Genomic DNA, 21,282 nt, shown 5'->3' on the forward strand with positions numbered 1-21,282 from the left:
ATCTTTGAGAAAGATGTGACAAATATTATAATCTCATCTTCCTGTGGAAAAACATAAACCACAGTACTTCCGCCTTATCACTACAAAAATATTGTTAATTTGGTAAAAGAGTTAAGACCACCCATTGTTGGATAAATGTTAGGTTGGTGCAAAAGTAATTGTAGTTTTGCCATTATTTTAAATAACATTTTAGGATTTGAAAATGATGAATTTAAATGATGCCATTTAATCCTAAATATTTTAGAGATTCAATTCAATTCCAGTTAATACCTCAGGTTTTGTTGTAGAACTTACAAAGCAGAATTCTACATGTACATTAAATTACAAAAGTCAAGACTAGGAAAGTCACAATTGAAGATGAAGAAAATGTGGGAGCCTTGTTTTACTAGATAGTAAGACCTATGTTAAAACCGTATTAATAAAGGCAAAGTGGCATGTGGGGCATAGATAGACAAATTGAGAAGGGTAAAAATACAGACAAGAAAAAGTCATGTGCATAGATTAAAAAATATAAGGTAACATTGCAGATAAAGTGGGAAATTAGCTCCTATTCAATAATTTGTCCTGGGTTACTATCACACTGGCCTTTAAGTTACAAAAAATTAGTCCTGGGAATTTTTAAATTTTAATATAAAAAACATGAAATTGCATCTCTGTCATATCTACATCATATGCAGGAGAATTAGAAACTTAAATATATACCCCAGTATACATAAGAATAATATATGAATTGATACCAATGAACAAGATAAGCTAAATATATATTTTATGTTTATTAATTTAAAATACTAACATAAGACATCATATAAAGTAATATAAGATGAACACATTATAACATTTTAACAAAAACCAAAGCTATTAATCTTAAAACTCTGAAATATAAGGAAGGAAAACAGCTTTCATGTGGTGATGTGTTAAAGTTGGACAATAAATTTATTCAACATTTTTTTTCTTTAGCGAATGCTATTTGCTATGCACTTTTCTAGATCTTGAGAATGTCAAAGTAAACAATCCAAAAGAAAGTTTTTGCCCACATGGAAATTAATTACTTTTTTTTTTTTTTTTTTTAAGAGATGGAGTTTCACTCTTGTTGTCCAGGCTGGAGTGCAACGGGGCGATCTCGGCTCACTGCAACCTCCGCCACCTGGGTTCAAGCAATTCTCCTGTCTCAGCCTCCAGAATAACTGGGATTACAGGCATGTGCCACCACACCTGGCTAATTTTTGTATTTCTAGTAGAGACGAGGTTTCACCATGTTAGTCAGGCTGGTCTCGAACTCCTGACCTCAGGTGATCCTCCTGCCTCAGCCTCCCAATGTGCTGAGATTACAGACGTGAGCCACCACACCCAGCTGGAAATTACTTTTTAGTTTAGGTGATATAAAATGAATAAGTATAAAACAAATTCAAAATTAAACAAGATAGGTGAATATAAAACAAGTTGAAGAAAATATGTTATTTTCTGACATACCAAGATTCTTTTCAGCTAATCAACATTTTCTATTAGCTATTTTATATAGTAAAAATAGATCTATATAGAGGAAATATAGGCTGATATTTTCTAACAACTACATTTTAACAAATATTTGGTTTTTGAAAGGAAATGAATAAATGAGTAAATGCAGGCTTTTTATGGGAAAAACCTGAATCACAATTTCCTGAAGAGTTATTTTTATATATGTAGTTTTCGATTGAATAGAGATTGTCTCTTAAATACAGAATTGAGAAAAGGGGGATAGGAATAGGATAAAAAAGAACATTTGAATATCCTACCTATTTCGTTTAGTTCAAATGGCAACTTACAGCCAACTGGGAAGTCCCCACACATACCTAAAAGAAGATTTCTGAAATAAATACCATGATAAAGCTAAGCACCAGGGAGAGTTTTATTGTCATATATAAAGGTCCCTAAACCAACTGACAGAGTGTGGAAAGGATTCTTAAAGAAGAAAATTCTAAAATGGGTCCTGTATGTCGGGTTAAAACAATTAGTTAGATAAAGAAATAGTATGTTAAAACTCCAATTTCTTTCTCAATGTTGAACATACACTCACTTTGCTGTAGTCATGATAGTAAACTTATTGGGGATTTGCTGGGCATTTGTACTGGTTTATTCTATGTGAATTGCAAAAGGACATAGCATAGTTTTCAGATAAAATACTTTCTAATAAGTGAAATAAAACCAACGCAATTAACTTCTGCAGAAAGAATAATTTGACTATAAAAGTACCTGAACAAACTTCATATAGACGTATCTATATAACTTTCAAAAACTATTGTTAGAAGAAAAATTACAATATTTTGCAAACAGCCTGGGCTCAAGTCATTTGAGAACATCCATCACCACAATAAACTATTTAATTACTTTCATTAGTTGAGAAGAGCCAACAATCAACCGGCCTTTTTGGTCAGTAAGCTAACTCGCACTGTGGCCTCAGAAAACCCTTCTCTTCTGGTACACAGGAAAGACTTAACACGCAGCCAACTTGTGGTTAGAAACAGAGTGCTTGGCAGGTTGCTGGCTTCAAGCTGTGACACTAAAGCTGGATGTGGTCAGAGGCGTTTACTGGACGCTTGCCCAAATATGAAAGCTTAAGATGTGCAGCTATTGCCAAGCAAAAATTTTGTAATCTTGACCTTTTGGTAAATGTGTTTGAATTGACAAAAGACATGTCAAAAAGGACAAATTTTTAAAATTCACATGGACAATAAAGAAAATAAAAAGGAGTGGAAGAAATAGAGCTGAGTCTTTGGATATGCAGGGGCATCTATGGCCACACCACCATGATGCATCCAGTCTCGTCTGGACACGCATGGGCATATTGAAGCAGAAGTGAAATGATGACTAATGTAAAAGTAAAAAAGTCTGCAAACATATTTTAAGAAATATGTATATATATATTTTCAGAACCTATTTTCCATTCAGCTAGGTATTAAGTACTGGGCTACACATACTGACATATAATGTTAACTGGTGTATTGTAATTATATGAACTCAAGGCAGAGATTCCATAAATCTGGAATTTATACTTTGGGGAAAAACAGGTCATCATCTTGGCAATTAATTAATTTTCTCTGGCACAGCTTCCTAAGCCAGGAATGATTAAATGATTTTTTTGCCCCATCTCAGTTGAAATTTTGTATAATTCTAAAATTTAGCAATTCAATTGAAATATCTTTAGCAAATATTTGTGTTATATTAACTTAATCCATGCTAGGACACACCATTGTTTTGATTGTTTAATTGCAATCTATATGGTATAACGGAACAGAAAAGTGTTTTTCCCACTCTGGTATTATCTTTATAATTGTGCATAAATAGCCATACATAAATAGTAACTTTAAACAATTGCTCTCAAGTAAGTCACATGCATGATTTGCAGGTCAGATGACATCATATTTTTTATTAGCATCCTGGTTACTTTTCTCTGATTGCTTATTTGATTGCCATTAAACCTTCCATTTCCTGCTATAGTGATAATCTCCACATTCATAGATGGAACGATGCCTTTAACGACTTCTGCATCTTGGATTCAAATGGATTTTGTGTTTACTTCAGTGCTTCAAATATCAAAGAAGTCTAGAATTTTGAAGATGACTTAAATTTGTGACATTACTTACCACAAGTGCCTAAAGACACAGATATAGGGATAAGACAGCATTTTTCTTCCTAAGGAAAATGGCTCATTAATTGTAGAAATGAGTGAAGCAAGGTGTCTCAAGTCACATTTTTTTCCCTCTTACGTACCTATTAGCAGGTGCTCAAATTTTAGTTGACTTATTTCTCCTTCCTTTATCCCCAGTAGCTTCATTTGTGTGCAAAGGAATAAAAAATGCAAGTGGTTAAAAGTCTACAACGCTTGCATTATATTTTGGCGAATATAAAAATCACTACTAAAATCTTACAATGTTCCTCTTGAGGTCTTAGCCAAGAGGTCCTGGCGTTTTTCTGCACTGTAATAATGTTGTCTTCATAATTTGACATAGAAGTAATAGTACCAAAGCTTAACAAAAATAAGTAAATAGGAAATTACTGATATTTTCATAATATCATTCTATATTTATTTATTGAGCTTTTATCTATTATGGAGCAAGCATATTGTTTGGCCATGAATAAACAAAGTTCAATAAAGTATAAAGCACAGTTCCTATCATCTAGTTGTCCACACTCTATTTAAGGCATACACAGAAGCAGATGGTTTTAAATTAGTATGTAATTCACAACGGTAGACACAAACTCTGGGTGTTTTAAATGATAGTATTATAAAGGACAATTTTCTAATAGGTCTCCAGTATTAAATGTGAGAAAATGGTGTTAGAGAAGGTGTCCTAGATTGGGTGATTTCTGGAGATTAAAAAAAAAACGTTAGAAATCAAGGTAATGTTGTTAAAACATACAAAATACCAAAGACAGAAATCTCTAAAACATAGAAGAGAGACATTAAAATGAATAAAAAATGCTATATGCAGTCCAGTATTGTTGGTTTATTAAGTGGCGTTATGAAGAGCTGGAGATGAAAACAGCCTGGGGCAACCTGGAACCACAAGAAAGGGTGTGAGTGATGTAGGGAAAAGAAAGAGAGATCAGACTGTTACTGTGTCTGTGTAGAAAGGGAGGAAGGCCACTGTCTCCTGCCTGCCCCTGGGAACTGAATGTGTCGGTATAAAACCCGATTGTACATTTGTTCAATTCTGAGATGGGGGAAAAACCACCCTATGGTGGGAGGCGAGACACGTTTGCAGCAATGCTGCCTTGTTATTCTTTACTCCACTGAGATGTTTGGGTGGAGAGAAACATAAATCTGGCTTACGTGCACGTCCAGTCATAGTACCTTCCCTTGAACTTAATTATGACGTAGATTCTATTGCTCACATGTTTTTTTCCTTATTATCACCCTGCCCTCCTACTACATTCCTTTTTGCTGAAAGAATGAAGATAATAATCAATAAAAACTGAGGGAACTCAGAGACCAGTGCCCACTGCAGCTCCTTGGTATGCTGAGCGCCAGTCCCCTGGGCCCACTGTTGTTTCTCTATACTTTGTCTCTGTCTTATTTCTTTTCTCAGTCTCTCGTCCCACCCGACTAGAAATACAGGTGTGGAGGGGCAGGCCACCCCTTCAAGTGAGAAGAAAGATTTATAATCTAAGCTATGTTGTTTGATAGTACCATGTAGTCAGTAAAAAGCCTTTGAGGGGTTTTAAGGAAGAGGTTAACAAGGCAGGGTTTCCATGCTTTGAGCAGACAATGTGACCTACTCAGAAGATAATGAATTTGATATTAATGGGGCTAGAACAGGCACAAATGGTTAAGGGCCACATGCCATAGAAGCAAATGATGTTTTTACGTGGAACTGTGATATTAACAAAGAAAACTATTTCTCAGTGGAAATACCAATCTCTACCAGAAAGGAGAACTAATTACTGACAATGCTACACTAGAACAGATTTAGAATGTAATGTTGGTTTCCTTCTCTGAGGAAGTGGGGTGTATCTAAATGGCTGTTATTGTTATATAGCAACATTGTGGTTGCTGCATAGTAACCTTGTGTGTTTATTACCAATTTATTGCCTCTTAGTTTCAAATCTATCCTTCACCATCCTGCTCTACCATAATGAAAGCAGAGCCCATAAAATTTCTCCCTTGCCAGCTTATATGATAAATTTTGTCCCTAAAAGGCAGTGTGTAGTCTGGAGGAAAAAGGGTTTTTCTTCCTGGTTTTATGATACTTTCTCTCCTTTTGCTCCTATGACTGTGGCTACCAGCTGCATGTTTGCATAACATCCTGCGGTATTTACCCTCCAGCAAGTTTTTGTTAGCTGTCCGGATCCCTGTTACATGCCTTCCGGTATCTAGCTCCAGCACTCTGGAATGAAAACTCTTCCTCCTGGCCAGTCACAGCGTGAGATCCATCCTCGCCAATTTCAACTTGCTAGTTTTAGAACTGCCCTGTCCTAGGGCCACCCACAATTGTTGAATTGTCATTTTAAACACCTTCAAAGACTAGAAGAAATTAATTCATCGTGGAAATATTCATTTTATTCAGCACTTAGAAATAACAGTTCTTGATAATATTATGATTTATAATTTATACATGGTGTATTTTAATGAATTGCAGGTGTTTAAGAAATAAGTAACATAGCAGGGCGCGGTGGCTCATGCCTGTAATCCCTCACGCCTACAATCCCTCACGCCTGTAATCTCAGCAGTTTGGGAGGCCGAGGTGGACAGATTGCTTGCGGTAAGGAGTTTGAGACCAGCGTAGCCAACATGGCGAAACCCCATCTCTACGAAAAATTAGCCAGGCATGGTGGTGAGTGCCTGTAGTCCCAGCTACTTCGGAGGTGGAGGCCGAAGAATTGCTTGAGCCTGGAAGGCTGAGATCTCAGTGAGCCGAGACTGCCACTGCACGGGTGACAGAGCGAGCCTCTGTCTCAAAGAAAGAAAGAGTATGTACCTGGATATGTATTTTTAAAATAATGTAAAGATTTAAAAATAGTTCGAAGAACCTAATTGTATGGCTTTTGAAGCAACTAGAAGTATGTTCTTTACAGATGGTGGGAGTAATGTTATATTAAGTTTGTGTAAGCTATAACACTTAAGTGTTTATAAGCATGTTTATAAGCTGGTGTTTACAAGCATGTTTTTATTTCCGAACAAAATTCAAAAGAAGTTTGTCTTTGTAAAAATTCAGATGTGCACAGTTCTTGTTCCTCTCTGAAGATATTGGAAATGTATTGCTAATACTGGTAATATATAACAATTTTTTTATGAATAGATGACTTATTTAATAGTTACGTATCTAAATCTGAATATTTTCTATATAATTTGTCTATGGAAACAAATATTTATACAATTGTTCACATATTGCTCTTTTCTTTGTAATGTTATTCCTTCTAGGTATAAAATATAGACGTTCTCAAGAAGATTAGTGTTTGCAATAGAAAGCTGGGCCATTTGGCCACACCTGCAAATGATTATTGGTTTTGCGGGAGACTGCAATCCATAAAAAATTACTGGCAGAGTTTGAGAATTTGTATAAGAAAACAAATTTTATGAGATGCAAAATCAATACTATTATACTAATTTAAATTTTGTAATAGCAAAGCTAATTCTTGTTACTTTTCAGTCTTTCAATTCACTAAGATAATGAGTGTTACGCACTGAACACATACAAATGTATTGCTGTGACTGAATGAAGAGGACAAATTAACAAAGCAATTCCGAGGCCCTGGAAATTGATCAAAGGCTAATAATCATTTGTGAACTATTTATTCTTGGAAAAACTGCTAGAGATTCAAGGAAGAGTGCAGCAAATTTGTAGTAAGTTTACCTAGTGCTGCTCCCGTGCCTTCTGCCCACCCACCACACCCAGCACAGTGAGTAACAGTTGCAGTTTTTACAGCTGGGGGAAAATCAACAGTGTTTTTTGCCACAAGGACAGACTTGATTAGCGGTCAGAGGTTGGGGCATAGTGTAACAGACCACTGCTTTTCAACTGAAAGTGCTGAATTTTGCAGGAAATGAATGAGAAAACCCCATTTTTTGTTGTTTTTTATTTTTTTTAGTCTGAGGTGTAGTCTCCTCTGGGGCAAGAACAGTGCCAGCCATAAATATAACAAAATCCTAAACATGAGAGTGCAATAGACCTCATGACATTAGCCCTCTACATATTCTTTAAATTTTTTTTTAAATTGACACATTGTAATTGTACATATTTATGGGGTACAACTTGATGTTCAATACATATATATGTTACATTAAATAATCAAATCAGGGTATTTAGTGTATCTGTCTACCTCATGTATTTATCATTTCTTTGTGGTGAGAACGTTCAAAAGCCTCTGTTCTAGCTATTTTGTAATATGCAATATCTTACTGTTAACCATCATCACCCTACTATGCAATAGAACAGAACTTATTCCTCCTACCTAACTATAACTTTGTACCCATTGACCAAGCTCTCACCCTGTCCCCCTCTTTTTCTCTCCTCCAGTCTCTGTTGACCACTGTTCTGGTGTTTTTCTGGTGATCGCTCTGCTTCTATAATATCAGCTCTTTTTTGCTTTATTTCTACATGAGTGAGATTATGTGATATTTGTCTTTCTGTATCTGCCTTATTTCACTTAACATGATGCTCAGCAGGTTCATCCATGTTGTATAAATGACAGGATTTTATTCTTGATTATTGAAAAAAATATGCATATGTGTAGAGGAGACCAGGGTGATTCCAGTAAAAAGTAAAAGCCCAAGGAGACTTGAGAACTGATTGCAAATTTATGAACACTTCCTTCACCACACACACACACACACACACACACACACACCGCTAGCACAGAGTGGAGCCTCTACTAACTTAAGGTTTTCGAATAAACCTTTTAAAATAATATATTGGCTGACAACCAAGCTATGCAATTCACAAGGGCAATCCCTAGGAAATGGGGCTAAAAAATAAAAATAAAAAATTAGAATTTGAAACAAAAACATCAGCAAATGCATTTTAAAGGAGAAAGATTCTGCAGTAAAATTTTATGTAAGTTACCCCCCCAAAATCTTTATAAACCCCCCAAATTTATTTGTATGATACTATATTATAAAAAATGTCTATTATAAGAAATTAGAAAACATGCAGAAACTGGAAAATGTCTTCCATACTTGGAGGGAAAGACAATCAGTCAATAAAATCTGACTTTTTCTGGGACAAGATGGTAGATTTATCAGAAAATATATTTTAAAGTAACTATTATAAATGTACTTAAATTATACAGAAAAGTATGTTCAATTAATTAAATGAAAATATGATGGCAATGAGAAAACAAGTAGGAAATTTTGTCAGAGAAATGAAAACCAAGAAATAAACCAAATTCTGAGTTGAGAAGTACATTACTTGAAACGAAAAATTCACTAAATTGGCTAGAAAAAAAATTGAGATTCAAAAGGAAGAATTCATCAACTTTGGGATATATTAATAGAAATTATTCATCCCAGAGAAAAAGAGAATACAGAAAGATGTAGAAAAATAATATTAAGACAAAACTGACTTAAAAACTTTTCAAATTTGCTTTTTTAAAAATGTATACATCCAAGATGCTAAGCAAACTAATGACTAATAGAATCAGCATGTAGAAATCCCCATCTCAAAACATCATAATCAAATGATTGAAGAGGATTTTAAGACAAAGACCCTGAGATAATCTTGTGGAACAGGTAGGACGGATTATGAGATGACTTGAGTCTGTGTGAATGCCAGGGAATGGTTGAGGTATCCCCCACCAGCAGGAGTATTTTGACCACATTACCTTCCAGAGAACCCACATTTGCCCTGAATACTATTCTAGATTGGAAGGAGGCAACATCAACAAGATAGAGGAATAGCATACCCCAGCACTTGCTCCCCATAGAAACAACAACTTAATACATCCAGAAATAAACGTCGGTACATATGGACTAGTGATTTTCAATAAGAGTGCCAAGACCATTCAATGGGAAAAGGGCAGTATCTTCCAGAAATAGTGTTGAGAAAACTGGCTAAACATATGCAAAAGAGTGAAATCAAAGCCTTACATTACACCATCTACAAATATTAACTCATAATGTATTGAAGACTTAATGATAAGATCCAAAACTGTAAAACTTCTAGAAGAAAACATGTGAGGAAAGCTTCATGAAATTGGATTTAGCAATCATTTCTTGATAAAACACCCAAATCACAGCCAACAAAAGCAAAAAATAGGCAAATGGGATTACATCAGACTTAAAAATGTCTGCAGAGCAAATGATTGAAGCAACAAAATCATGTATCTAATAAGGGATTAATATCCAGAATATATTAAGAACTTATGTAATCCAATGACAAAAACCCTAATAACCCTATTTAAAAATGGACAAAGGATTCAAATAGATATTTCTCCAAAGAAGATATACAAATGTCCAATAAGCATATGAAAAGATGCTCAACATTACTATCATCAGAAAAACATAAATCAAAACCACTGTTAAATATCACTTCATACCCATTAGCATGGCCGCTATGAAAAAAGCAGAAAATAACAATTATTGCTTAGGTTGTGAAGAAATTTGGGCCCTTGTGCACTGTTAATGAAAATGTAAAATGGTACAGTCACTATGGAAAACATTATGGAGGTTCCTCAAAAAATTTAAAATTGAGTTGACATATGAACCAACAATCTTACTTCTGTAGAGCCAAAGGAGTTGAGATCAGGAACTTGAACAGGTATCGGCACTCCCATGTTCATTGCAACAGTTAAAACATAGAAGCAACATACAAGCCCATTGATGAATTGGTGGATAAAGAAAATGTGGCATGTGTATAAAATGGAATACAATTCTGCCATTAAAAAGAAGAAAAAGCTATTGCAACAACATGGATAAACCTGAAGGACATTATGCTGAGTAAAATAATAGTAAATTCATAGAAGCAGGGAGTAGAAGGGTGGTTGTCAGGGGCTGGGAGAGGGAAAAACAGGAGAGTATTAGTCAAAGGGTACAAACTTTCAGTTATACGAGATGAACAAGGTCTAGATATCTGTTTTACTACACAGAACCTGTAGTTAATAATGTTGTATACTAAAGATTTGGCTAAGAGCGTAGATCTTAAGTGTTTGTATCACAAAAAATAATAATAAAGAAGGTGGAAGGAAACTTCTGGAGATTACAGATATGTTTATGACACAGATTGTGGTGGTTTCATGGTTATACACTTATCTCTAATCTTATCAAGTTGTATGCATTAAATATGTACAGCTTTTTGTATGTCAATCATACTTCAATAAAGTTGTTTAAACATTTTTAAAAAGGATAATATACTTTATTTTAAAAAAGGAAGTCTTGTTGCATGCTGCAACATGGATAAATCTTAAGGACATTATGCTAAGTTAAATAAGCCAGTCACACAAAAAAAATGCTGCCTGCTTTATTTATATGAGATATCTAAAGTATTCAAACTCATAGAAACAGAAAGTAGAATGCTGATTGCTAGGGGCAAAAAGGGGAGTTGTCCAATGTGTATAGAGTTTCAGTTTTGCAAAATGAACAAATTCTAGAAATCTGTTGTAAAATGTGAATATAGTTAACACTACTGACCTGTTCACTTAAAAATGGTTGAGATATATGATATGGTTAAGATGTAATGGCTCAGATGTAACATACTGTATGAGTTCAACTATATGACATTCTGGAAAAGTAAACAACTATGGAGACAGTACAAAAATCGATGCTTGCCATGTGTTTGAAGGAGGAAAGGATGAATGGGCAGAGCACAGAAGATTTTCAGGGCAATGCAATTATTCTGTATGATCTATGATGATAAAGACATGTCATTATCATTATATATTTGGCCAGACCCATAAAGTGTAAAACACTGAGTGAAACTTAACATAAGCTATGGTCTTTCAATAATAATGATGTTTCAATTGTAACAAATATACCATGCTGATGGGGGATATTGATCATGGGAGAAGTAGTGCATGAGTGAGGACCATGGGAAGTCTCTGTAGCTTTCTCTCAATTTTCACAAGATGTGGAACCAGTATATAAATAGATACCTAGATTAATCAAATAGACTACAAAGTGCAAAAATGTATCCACAAATATATGGAATGTAGAATAGTTCAAGAAAGATGTAAAGGCATTCAGTGGAGAAAGTATAATCTTTTTAACAAATGTTTAAACACTTGGCTATCAATATGCACACACAAAATATTTTGATCTATACCTCATACCACATACAAAATAAGCTCAACTTGTGCACAGCAAAAGAAACTTTAAGCTCCTATAAACAGACAACCTACAGAATGGGAAAAATATTTGCAAACTATGCACTTGACAAAGGTCCAATATCCAGAATCTATGAGGAACAATTAAATAATCAAATAATAAATAATCCCATTAAAATAGGCAAAAGACATAACAGACAATTCTCAAAAGAAGACATACAAGCGGCCAAAAAACACATGAAAAAAATATGAAACATAATTATCAGAGAAATGCAAATCAAAGCTGAAATGAGATTCCATCTAACACCAGTCAGAAGGACTATTACTAAAATGTCAAAGACAACTGATGTTGGCAAGGCTTTGGAGAAAAGGGAACACTTACACACTGAAGGTATGAATGTAAATTAGTCCAGCCACTGAGGAAGGCAGTCCAGAGATTTCTCAGCGAACTTAGAACTACCATTTGATCCACCAATCTTACTACTGGGTATATCCCCCAAAAGACACATGCACTTGCGTGTTCATCACAGCATTCTTCATAATAGCAAAGACATGGAATCTCCCTAAATGCCCATCAAGGATAGGCTGGATGAAGACAATGTGGTACATACACACCATGAAATACTAGGCAGTCATAAAAAAAGAACAAGATTATGTCCTTTGCAGCAACATGGATGCAGTGGAAGGCCATTATTCTAAGCCAATTAACACAGAAACAGAAAACCAAATACTGCATGTTCTCACTTATAAGTGGAGCTAAATGATGAGAACACATGGGCACATAGAGGTAAATAACAGACACTGTGGCCTACCTGAGGGTAGAGGGTGGGGGAAGAAAGGGATCAGGAAAAGTAATTAATGGGTACTAGGATTCATACCTGGATGACAAAATAGTCTGTTCAACAAACCCGTGACACGAGTTTAACTATATAGCAAACCTGCATAGGTACTCCAGAGCTTAATATAAAAGTTAAGAAAAAGAGAGGTCAAGAATTGGAAGTGTTTAACTGAAATGAAATAATATAATATTACAGTCAATAAACATATTATATTTACACGTTTATACATACAATTGAAAATATAAATAATTATTTTAAAATTTAACAAATACATATGGAATGATTTTGATTTGTTACAAAGTGCTTGTATTTAAAAATAGTAGTTTGCTGTCTTTATGAGATACTCATAAAAATACTCCTTTAACATAAACATAAAAAATATGAAGATGAAAAATGGAAAAAATATACCATGCAACACAAACTGGTAGAAAACCACTTTAATATACTGTAATAATATAAAACAGAAGTTGTTATTAAAAATGAAGAAGCATATTCATAGTGATATATTTATTATCTATACCATTAGTAATTTTAAAATAATTTGTATGTACCTAATAATACACATTTAATATAAAGTTGAAAGAAATAAATGAGTAATTAATAAATTTAGGGATTTAGTCACTTCTCTTTCACATCTCATCACACAAACAGATACATCACTGACTCTATACAGAGATTTAAACTAGACAATTAGCCAACACACCTGTGTATACACACACATATAAACTGTATACTAATTCGGAATACTAATATTTTTAAGCTACACTGTATTTTCATAAACCTATGCATTTTAATATAAAATTTAGAAGTTTGCTATAAGTACAGTAGCATTAGCCAAAGTTGGCCAGTGGACAGTTAAAATGCACCAATTCAAGTTTAATATTAATTAATTAGAAGTAAATAACATTAAACATAAGTTTATTAGTCACACTAGCTATATTTACACAGAGATGAAGAACATTTCTAGCCTCACAGAAAATGTTCTAACTACAGTTTACTAACACAGAAGTCAATAATCAAAACTTTAGGAACTTTATATGGTTTTATATTCAGTAATATAATTCTAAATAACCTAAGGGCCAAATAAATTATCACAATAAATGTTCACAATTTTTACATCAATTAAAAGGAAAATAGAGCAAAATATTTTCTTGGGAAAAATGGATTGCCTTAAATTCATATATTGCAACAAAATTGCAGATACTGAATTGTCTGAATAAAAACAGAAATATGAAATTAACTGAAATTAAATAGAAGTAAAGTGGTAGGAAGAAAACAATAAATAGTAAAAAATCATGACAAAGAGCAAAATTACAGTAGAGAAGATCAATGAGGCTGAAGATATTTTCATTGAAAGGACTTAATAAAATTGATAAAAGACTTAAAGAATTTGAGAAGGCTCAAATAATTTTCTAGATTAAATAAGGGAAAACCATTATGGTTTTTACAGATATTAAACAGATAATGAAACCATATTATGAATACTTTTATATCTATATGAGATAGAAAATTCTTGAATATGCAAATTACCAAATTGCAATACAACAAACAGAAATCTGAGTAACCTCTATAAATATAAACTTTGTAAATATGGATGAAATGTCTGTATGTGCTAAAGAAATTGACTTTCCTACATAAACTTTCCTACAAAAACATTCTACACACTCAGATGGCATCACTAATGAATAATTACATTTTAAAACAGTACCCTTACACAAAGTCTTCTAGGTTATAGAAAAAGAGAAATGCTTCCCAATATACCCTTAAGAGAAAAGGCTTTCATGTACATAGCTATAAATAAAAACACAGTATAATCTCCTGTGCATTAATAAATTTAAACAGGCAATACAGAATGACCAGTATGGTTTTATTTCAGACTGGTTTAACATTTGAGAGAATTGAAATAGTTTACTTATTAAGATTATGCAGAGAAAACATGTATCATTCCAACTGATGCCAAAATAATAAAAATGTTACAATTGATAACAAAATCTATTAGAAAAACAGGAATATGATAAAGCTGCTTCAATATGAGAAAGGTATAATAAAAACGAACACACTTTGTAAATATGGATGAAATGTTGCAATCTTTTTACCTAAAATAGGAACTGATACATATGATATACATATAACCTTTCTGTGCCTTCTATTCAACATTCAAAATAAAACCTTAGCTAGTCCAGATTCAATGCAATCTGTATCAAAATGCCAGTGACATTCTTCACAGAAATAGCAAAAGCAATCCTCAAATTTATATGGAACCACAAAACATCCAGTATAGCCAAAGCAATTCTGAGCAAAATATCAAAGCTGGAGGCATCACATTACCTGAATATACTACAAAGCTACAGAAACCAAAACAGCATGGTGCTCATATTAAAACAGACATACAGACCAATGAATCCAGAAACAAATCCATTTGTTTACAGACAACTCACTTTTGACAAAGGTGCCAGGAACATACATTGGAAAAAAAAGATAGTCTCTTCAAAAATAATGCTGGGAAAACTGCATATCATAATATGAAAACTGAATGAAGTAGTCCTTTCATCTGCACAGTGGATATGTTCTAAGACCCCCAGTGGATGTCTGAAATCATAGATAGTACTGAACTGTATATATACTGTGTTTTATCTATACATACATACCTTTGATGAAGTTTAATTTATAAATTAGGCACGGTAAGAGATTAAAACAAACTAATAATAATGAAAAAGAACAATTATAACAATATGCCAGCATAAATACTCTTGCATTTTGGGGCCCTTATTAAGTAAACTAAGAGTGACTTGAACACAAGCGGTACCATACCACCTTAGTCAATCTCATAACTGCGACAGCTGAGTGACTAATGGACAGGGAACTTAGGCTGTGCAGGTATCCTGGACGAAGCAATGATTCATGTCCCAGGTGAGATGGAGCCATACACTATATAAAGGATTTGATCACACTACTCAGAAGAGTGAACAATTTAAAACTCATGGATTTTCTCTTCCTAGAGTTTTCCTTTTAATATTTTTGGCCGTGGTTGAGCCTGGGTAACTAAAACCACAGAAAATGTAATTGTGGATCATTCCTTAACATTTATATCAACATTTCACTAACTTTCAACATCTTTATTTATGGCTATAATTGCACTTAAATTTATTCATAATGTTATTCTGAACCTGTCCTTTTATATTCTTCTACTATATAGCATCATTCAAAAAACTTACTTCAATTTGAACGTTGAGCCATTTATTGACACCCATGGATGATCACTGCTACTACGAGAGATGCCAACCCATGAGAGAACTGACAGGGAGCCCAGAAATTTCTAACGAAAAATAAAAAATTTTCATTTAAATAATAACTATAAAAGATTTTACTAATTTTTAGGTGCTTTCTTTGAATTCTAAACTTTTATTAATTTTTAAAAGTGCAGGTAATACATTCTTTCAAAGGATGCTTAATTTTCAAAACAAAATAAATACCTTAAACAAAATAGTAAACTTGAAAACAACTTTTATAGTGTAAAAAGCTATTACAAATTTTTGTAATTTTGACTTAAAATGAACTCTTCAATTTTTATACTTAGTACATTCATTCTTCTTATTTTAACAAGCAAAATTGTGATTCATGTAATTTAACAGTTGCTTGTGTTGGTAAGACAGACACAGTAAGAACTGAAATAAATTTCCTGATACTGTGCATGTATTTCTCCAGATATTCTGATTAAATAAATGTATTTTTCCACTATGTGTCTCATAGTGGAACTTTTCCTCCTTGAAGTTTAGAAGGAAATTGAAAGGTTGCCATTGAGGAAATAAATGACACAGCAGCCAAAAATTGGCTTTTCTGGGCACCACACCACTCTCTAACTAGATAAGCCCTCACTTTTATCTGATTTGGTTTTGGTGGAATAACAATGGTCTTGACCAGGTACATGGACTCCTTTTTCTCTGCTACTCCCTAATAAATACAACTCTAAACTCTGCAAGTAATGAAAGACACACAGGAAAACTCTGAAAGGTGGAAAGAGGAAGGCAAAATAGTTTGGGACCCCAGAATCAGGGATCAACAGAGTGTCCGGGCATCTTCAGTCCCCCACTCAGCAGAAGAAAGTGATCTAGTCCTCTGTTTCTCAGAACCAAATCTGGTAACAGGAGGTGGGTCAGCTAAGCCCATTCCCACTCTGTATTGAAAGGGAGTCCTGCCAGCAACATTAGGCAAGCCTGGTACCACTGGCAAGGATGACCTACCAGGAGGCCTGCTACCAGTTAGGAGCTAGAGGAAGTGCTTCTCCTCCCAAACCAAAAGACATCAGGGTAGGTGCGGTGAGAGGGATCAGCAAAGGAACCGCATGACTACACGTGCCCATCCAGGTTCCTCTTTGTTCCTGAGGGCACGAGACTCACTTCCCCATCCAGAGACACAGGACTGAACAGATTGTAAATGTTCTATGCACATCATGCAGCAATGAAAAGCAACAAACAACAGCTAACTGCATTATTGCACAAATATCATATAGGAGTAAAAGAAGACACACATGAAAATACACATTGTATGATTCCCTTGACATAAATTCTGGAACAGGCAAAGCTTATTTATCACATTAAACATCAATACAAAGGTTTGGAGAGGAGGCAGGAAAAGTGAGGAAGGCATACACAGGAGCAGGACTGCTGGGGCTGGAAACTTCTATTTCATGATCTGCCCTGTATCATGAATCCATTCACTTTGTGATCAATATGCATGACCATGACATGCTTAGTTTTCTTTATATTTATTTTGTGATAAAAACATTTATAGAAGCATGGGTTTCCATGAAAAGCAAAACTGGAAATAACCAAATGTGCATTAACAGTATATGAATATAAAAATATTATGAAGTCAGTTGAATACTACACAGACTTAAAAATATATGAAGTAAATATATGTATAAACATATGGATGATTTCTACAAATATGATATTGACAGAAATAAGCTTTTAGTAAAGTGTTGAAACATTTACGTCTTACCATTTCTTCCTCATTATCTATAGAAAGCAGATCAGAGTTCTTCGAAGCACAGGCCAGCAAACTCTTTCTTCCCAAGTTCTTCTTTCCTTACCAATGTAATAACAACTGTTGGAATATGTAATCCACTCCTCAGGACAATGGCCACAATGACGTGCTAAATAAAAATATGAATTACTATGCAAAACAATATGTTTACAAATGAAAATTATTTTATATATTTGCAAAGCTATAAACATACAGGTACACAATATCTGCATCCTCATAAGTTGTTAAATATATATTTTAAAATAACGAGTCACTCATACGCACATGCACAATAAAAGGTCCACCTCTCATCCCTTAATTGTGTTCCCATACAAAACAAGCCCGCCAACAAAAATCCACCCTACACATCTTAAACATCACTGAACAAAACTGCTTTTTAAGTATAGTAAAATTATTTATCTCTTATCATCTTATAGTAGTAGGAAATTTCAGTTAATTAAATGCAACAAGAGGGTATAATGATTTTAACTGAGCATTTCTACTTATTATTGGAGAAAAGGACATGCCCTCATATAATCTTTATTTTATAAACATTTATGGCTCATTGTTATAGTTTATTTTCCCAAAACATTTTATTATCATTTTGCATCCCTTTAGAGACAAAATATAAACTGTACTAACATCAGAACATTGACAATCATAATGTACCTTTCTGCATTCTTCTATTCAGGGAAAAATTGTTCTGCTCCAGTACTCCAATACCTAGAAAAATTAAAGTGATTCTTACAAAATTAATATCTAGACAAATTATAATAAATTCAGTTGCTTACTTTGAAATACAAAATTTAAAATTATTTTAAATTGGAACAATCTGAAATAAAAATGACTTTTCTATAAAAATAATGAGATCTTTAAAACAAATATTTTTAAAGCCATTAGCATAAAACTTCACCATCTCTTATAGTATTTGATCTAACCACTTTCAAAAATTAATTTGTTTTTCTAAATATTTTTTCTCTTAAAACATGTCTTTGAGTCATGAAATCAGAATACATCTCTCTGTGTGTGTATCATATATACATATATATTTAGTACACACAAAAAAATAAATGTTTTCTACAATTATTCTGTTATTTATAAATTTGAAAAGTTCAGAAGCAGCATATTATCTTGGGGTTCAGAGATATACATTAAACAGAGAATTCTAATCCTCATTATTATGAAATGTTTCAAGGCGCTTCCAATCATTATAGTGAAAAGTTCCCTTATAATCTTTCAAGAATATGCTTACAAGGAATAAGAACTATTGTTTTTAACACAGTGGCCATCAGGACAATGCAAATGATTCCTAGGACCTCAGCAGTGAGCTTCTCTGGAGGTGGCAGTAAACCTGCAGGGAGAGAAAGAGGCACTGAGAGAGGGGAGATAGAGAGTTGATGAGAAGGTTTACGTACAAGAGAACTCACGTGCACAGGAAAACATAATGATAAACTCTGTCCTCTAAATCTACATCTACTCTAGTAATCTTTCTCTCAGAATATACCATTTCATTATCAGTAAATATAATGCTCCATGAGTTGTTAATCACAAATTACAATTGAACAATGCCTGAATAAAATCAGGCTTCAGATTTCATATTAGAATATTAGATCCTGACTTTGACCTCTGATTCTCACAAGTGCAAAATATTCCCTAATCTTTCCCCACCTTTCTGCATTCAACTGCACATCCTAGAACAATAATATTGAAGATCTATTTAATGTTTTACCTTTGCAGTGATATGTCTTGTCATTCCCTTGATGATCCGAAGAAGCATTTTGAAGGTTTAATTCTACTTGGAATATTTCCTGTTTGGTTCCTGAAATGGAGATTTTATTGCCCTTAAGTTTCCTTTGCTGCCTCTTTGGGTCCTGGGCCAGACTCACTTCTGAGTAGGTTCCTCTTTGTTTATTCATCTCTGCAGCTGTGTGATGTCAGGGACTGTGCTCTATGATAACTGCACTTAAGAAGCTATAAGTGGTGTATATTTTGACAGGATCCCTGGTATAGGCAAACTGCATGTGTTGGAGGCTGAGTAGTAATGTTCATTTTGCTGTTGACCAATATAAAAGTCTGGTACTAATTTCCTAAAGTTTTAAACTGAAATCTCTTTAAACAATAGGTCACTTTTTAAAAGGCCTTCTATATTTGACATAATATTATTAATGGGAACAATAAAAAACAATACATTTGTGAAAACTAAGAAGTAACTGAATATAAATATCTTTATTAATTTAAAATCAGATTCTACAGAAATATTTTATCACCAATAGAATACCTGTGTAAAAAACTAAAATTGAAATTTGAAAATAAAATGCACTAATTGTATGACAATTTTAAAATTCATTAATGTAAGGATTGAGCGCTAAAGATGGAGGAATAATTTGTTGGCATATAGAACAACTTTTAATACTAAAATACATTAAGTTAGTGACTTACATTCGTTTACTAAAAGGGCATGAGGTCTTGGCAAATGTTTTTTATTCTGAATGATTGAGGAAAACAGAAAAATTGTTAAAATTTTAAAGAAATATTTTATACCTTGTAAAACATTACATTAACTTATGCATAAACTAAATACTACTGAAAAAGATTTAACTCTTTATTTTACAGAATTGATTGGTAATTGATTTAATGACTAAAATAGGAAAACTGAAAATGATAAATATAAGTTTGGACCATCTATGAAAGAACACTTTAAGTTCAAACTTTCAGAAAGACCCTGTGGTTGTTTTAAAAGGCAGCGAGGGTCACTTTGGTTGTGTAAGTAATTGTAATAAATCAGAAAATATAATTTAATAATCTAGTCAATGAGCTCTGTAGCCAGTGAGACCTAAAATTAATTACAGCTTTGAAACTCATAATGCATGACCTTTACAAAGTTACTTGGTGTCTACAACACCAGTTTACTAATCTAGATTGGGGAAAATAATTTATGAAGTATAATGTATATAAAACCCTTAACATACAACCTGGCACACATTAGTCCTCAATACATATTAGATATTTTAATTATTTTTAACACAATTGCCATTTTATTATTTCTAATTCATACTGAGTGTGTAAAATAACTAATGAGGTAGGAGTCTCATGTCAGTGTAGTACATCTTTTTTGCAATGTTTGTTTGGCTCAATTTTTTTTAGGTCGTCCTATTATTTATAATTAAGTTTAGATTTGCATTTTATGGAAACTACTTCATTATTACATTCTTAAAAAAATAAAATCTGCTTCAATTAAATATAAGTATGTGTATGAGAAATTATGTTTGACATTCACAATTTGATGTATCCATTAAAAATGCATTTTTAAAGTCTGGGCTAAATATAAAGTATTATTACATCTATAATGATTATAAAATTTCAAATTAATTCTTCATTGTCGTGATATTTATCGGTTTCACTCTAAATTATATTGATTAACAAACCTATTATGATGTATGCATGTGCTTGACTAATTCTCCACAGGCAATAATGTAAATACTTTAAGAAATCCTCAAACATATATTATATTTTGGGTTGCTTTTCACCCTGAATTATTCATGTACAGACAGTTCTACTTTGATTTTATTCTGTATTAACTTTACCTTGTTGCATCACATTTAATATTTACAATTTTCTACTAAAGGAGATGAGCTAGTAGAGAAACAGGAGACTAGCAACACATACCTTCTGTCATCAGAAAGTC

At 33.3% G+C, this 21,282-nt stretch overlaps 2 protein-coding genes and 1 long non-coding RNA gene across 3 annotated transcripts in view, besides 1 other annotated feature; 1 reads left to right on the forward strand and 2 right to left on the reverse strand.

Moving 5' to 3' along the window:
• Positions 1 to 8,444, forward strand: part of KLRK1-AS1 (KLRK1 antisense RNA 1) — a 34,738-nt gene extending 26,294 nt beyond the window's left edge. Inside the window, exon 4 of the long non-coding RNA NR_120430.1 lies at positions 6,117 to 8,444. This is a non-coding gene — a long non-coding RNA (KLRK1 antisense RNA 1). The remainder of the gene's footprint in view (positions 1 to 6,116) is intronic.
• Positions 1 to 20,084, reverse strand: part of KLRC4-KLRK1 (KLRC4-KLRK1 readthrough) — a 37,794-nt gene extending 17,710 nt beyond the window's left edge. Inside the window, exons 1-6 of the mRNA NM_001199805.1 lie at positions 20,037 to 20,084; positions 18,850 to 18,948; positions 18,267 to 18,320; positions 17,574 to 17,727; positions 3,748 to 3,805; positions 1,773 to 1,829 (exon numbers count right to left, since the gene is read on the reverse strand). The gene's annotated coding sequence lies outside the window, so the exon portion shown is untranslated. The remainder of the gene's footprint in view (positions 1 to 1,772; positions 1,830 to 3,747; positions 3,806 to 17,573; positions 17,728 to 18,266; positions 18,321 to 18,849; positions 18,949 to 20,036) is intronic.
• Positions 5,496 to 6,137: an enhancer, noted in NCBI's record as "NANOG-H3K27ac hESC enhancer chr12:10548157-10548798 (GRCh37/hg19 assembly coordinates)". NCBI's record gives its function as "activates a minimal SCP1, AML or CMV promoter by ChIP-STARR-seq in primed H9 embryonic stem cells {active_cell/tissue: H9 hESC(primed)}" and the evidence as "EXISTENCE:reporter gene assay evidence [ECO:0000049][PMID:30033119]".
• KLRC4 (killer cell lectin like receptor C4) lies at positions 17,322 to 19,695 on the reverse strand. The gene is made up of 4 exons (NM_013431.2): positions 19,327 to 19,695; positions 18,850 to 18,948; positions 18,267 to 18,320; positions 17,322 to 17,727 (listed from the first exon to the last, which is right to left on the reverse strand). The coding sequence occupies exons 1-4, from the start codon at positions 19,511 to 19,513 to the stop codon at positions 17,591 to 17,593; spliced, it is 477 nt and encodes a 158-aa protein (NP_038459.1). The 5' UTR covers positions 19,514 to 19,695; the 3' UTR covers positions 17,322 to 17,590.

Source organism: Homo sapiens, chromosome 12, assembly GCF_000001405.40.
Source record: "Homo sapiens chromosome 12, GRCh38.p14 Primary Assembly".
In the NCBI taxonomy this organism is placed as follows: domain Eukaryota; kingdom Metazoa; phylum Chordata; class Mammalia; order Primates; family Hominidae; genus Homo; species Homo sapiens.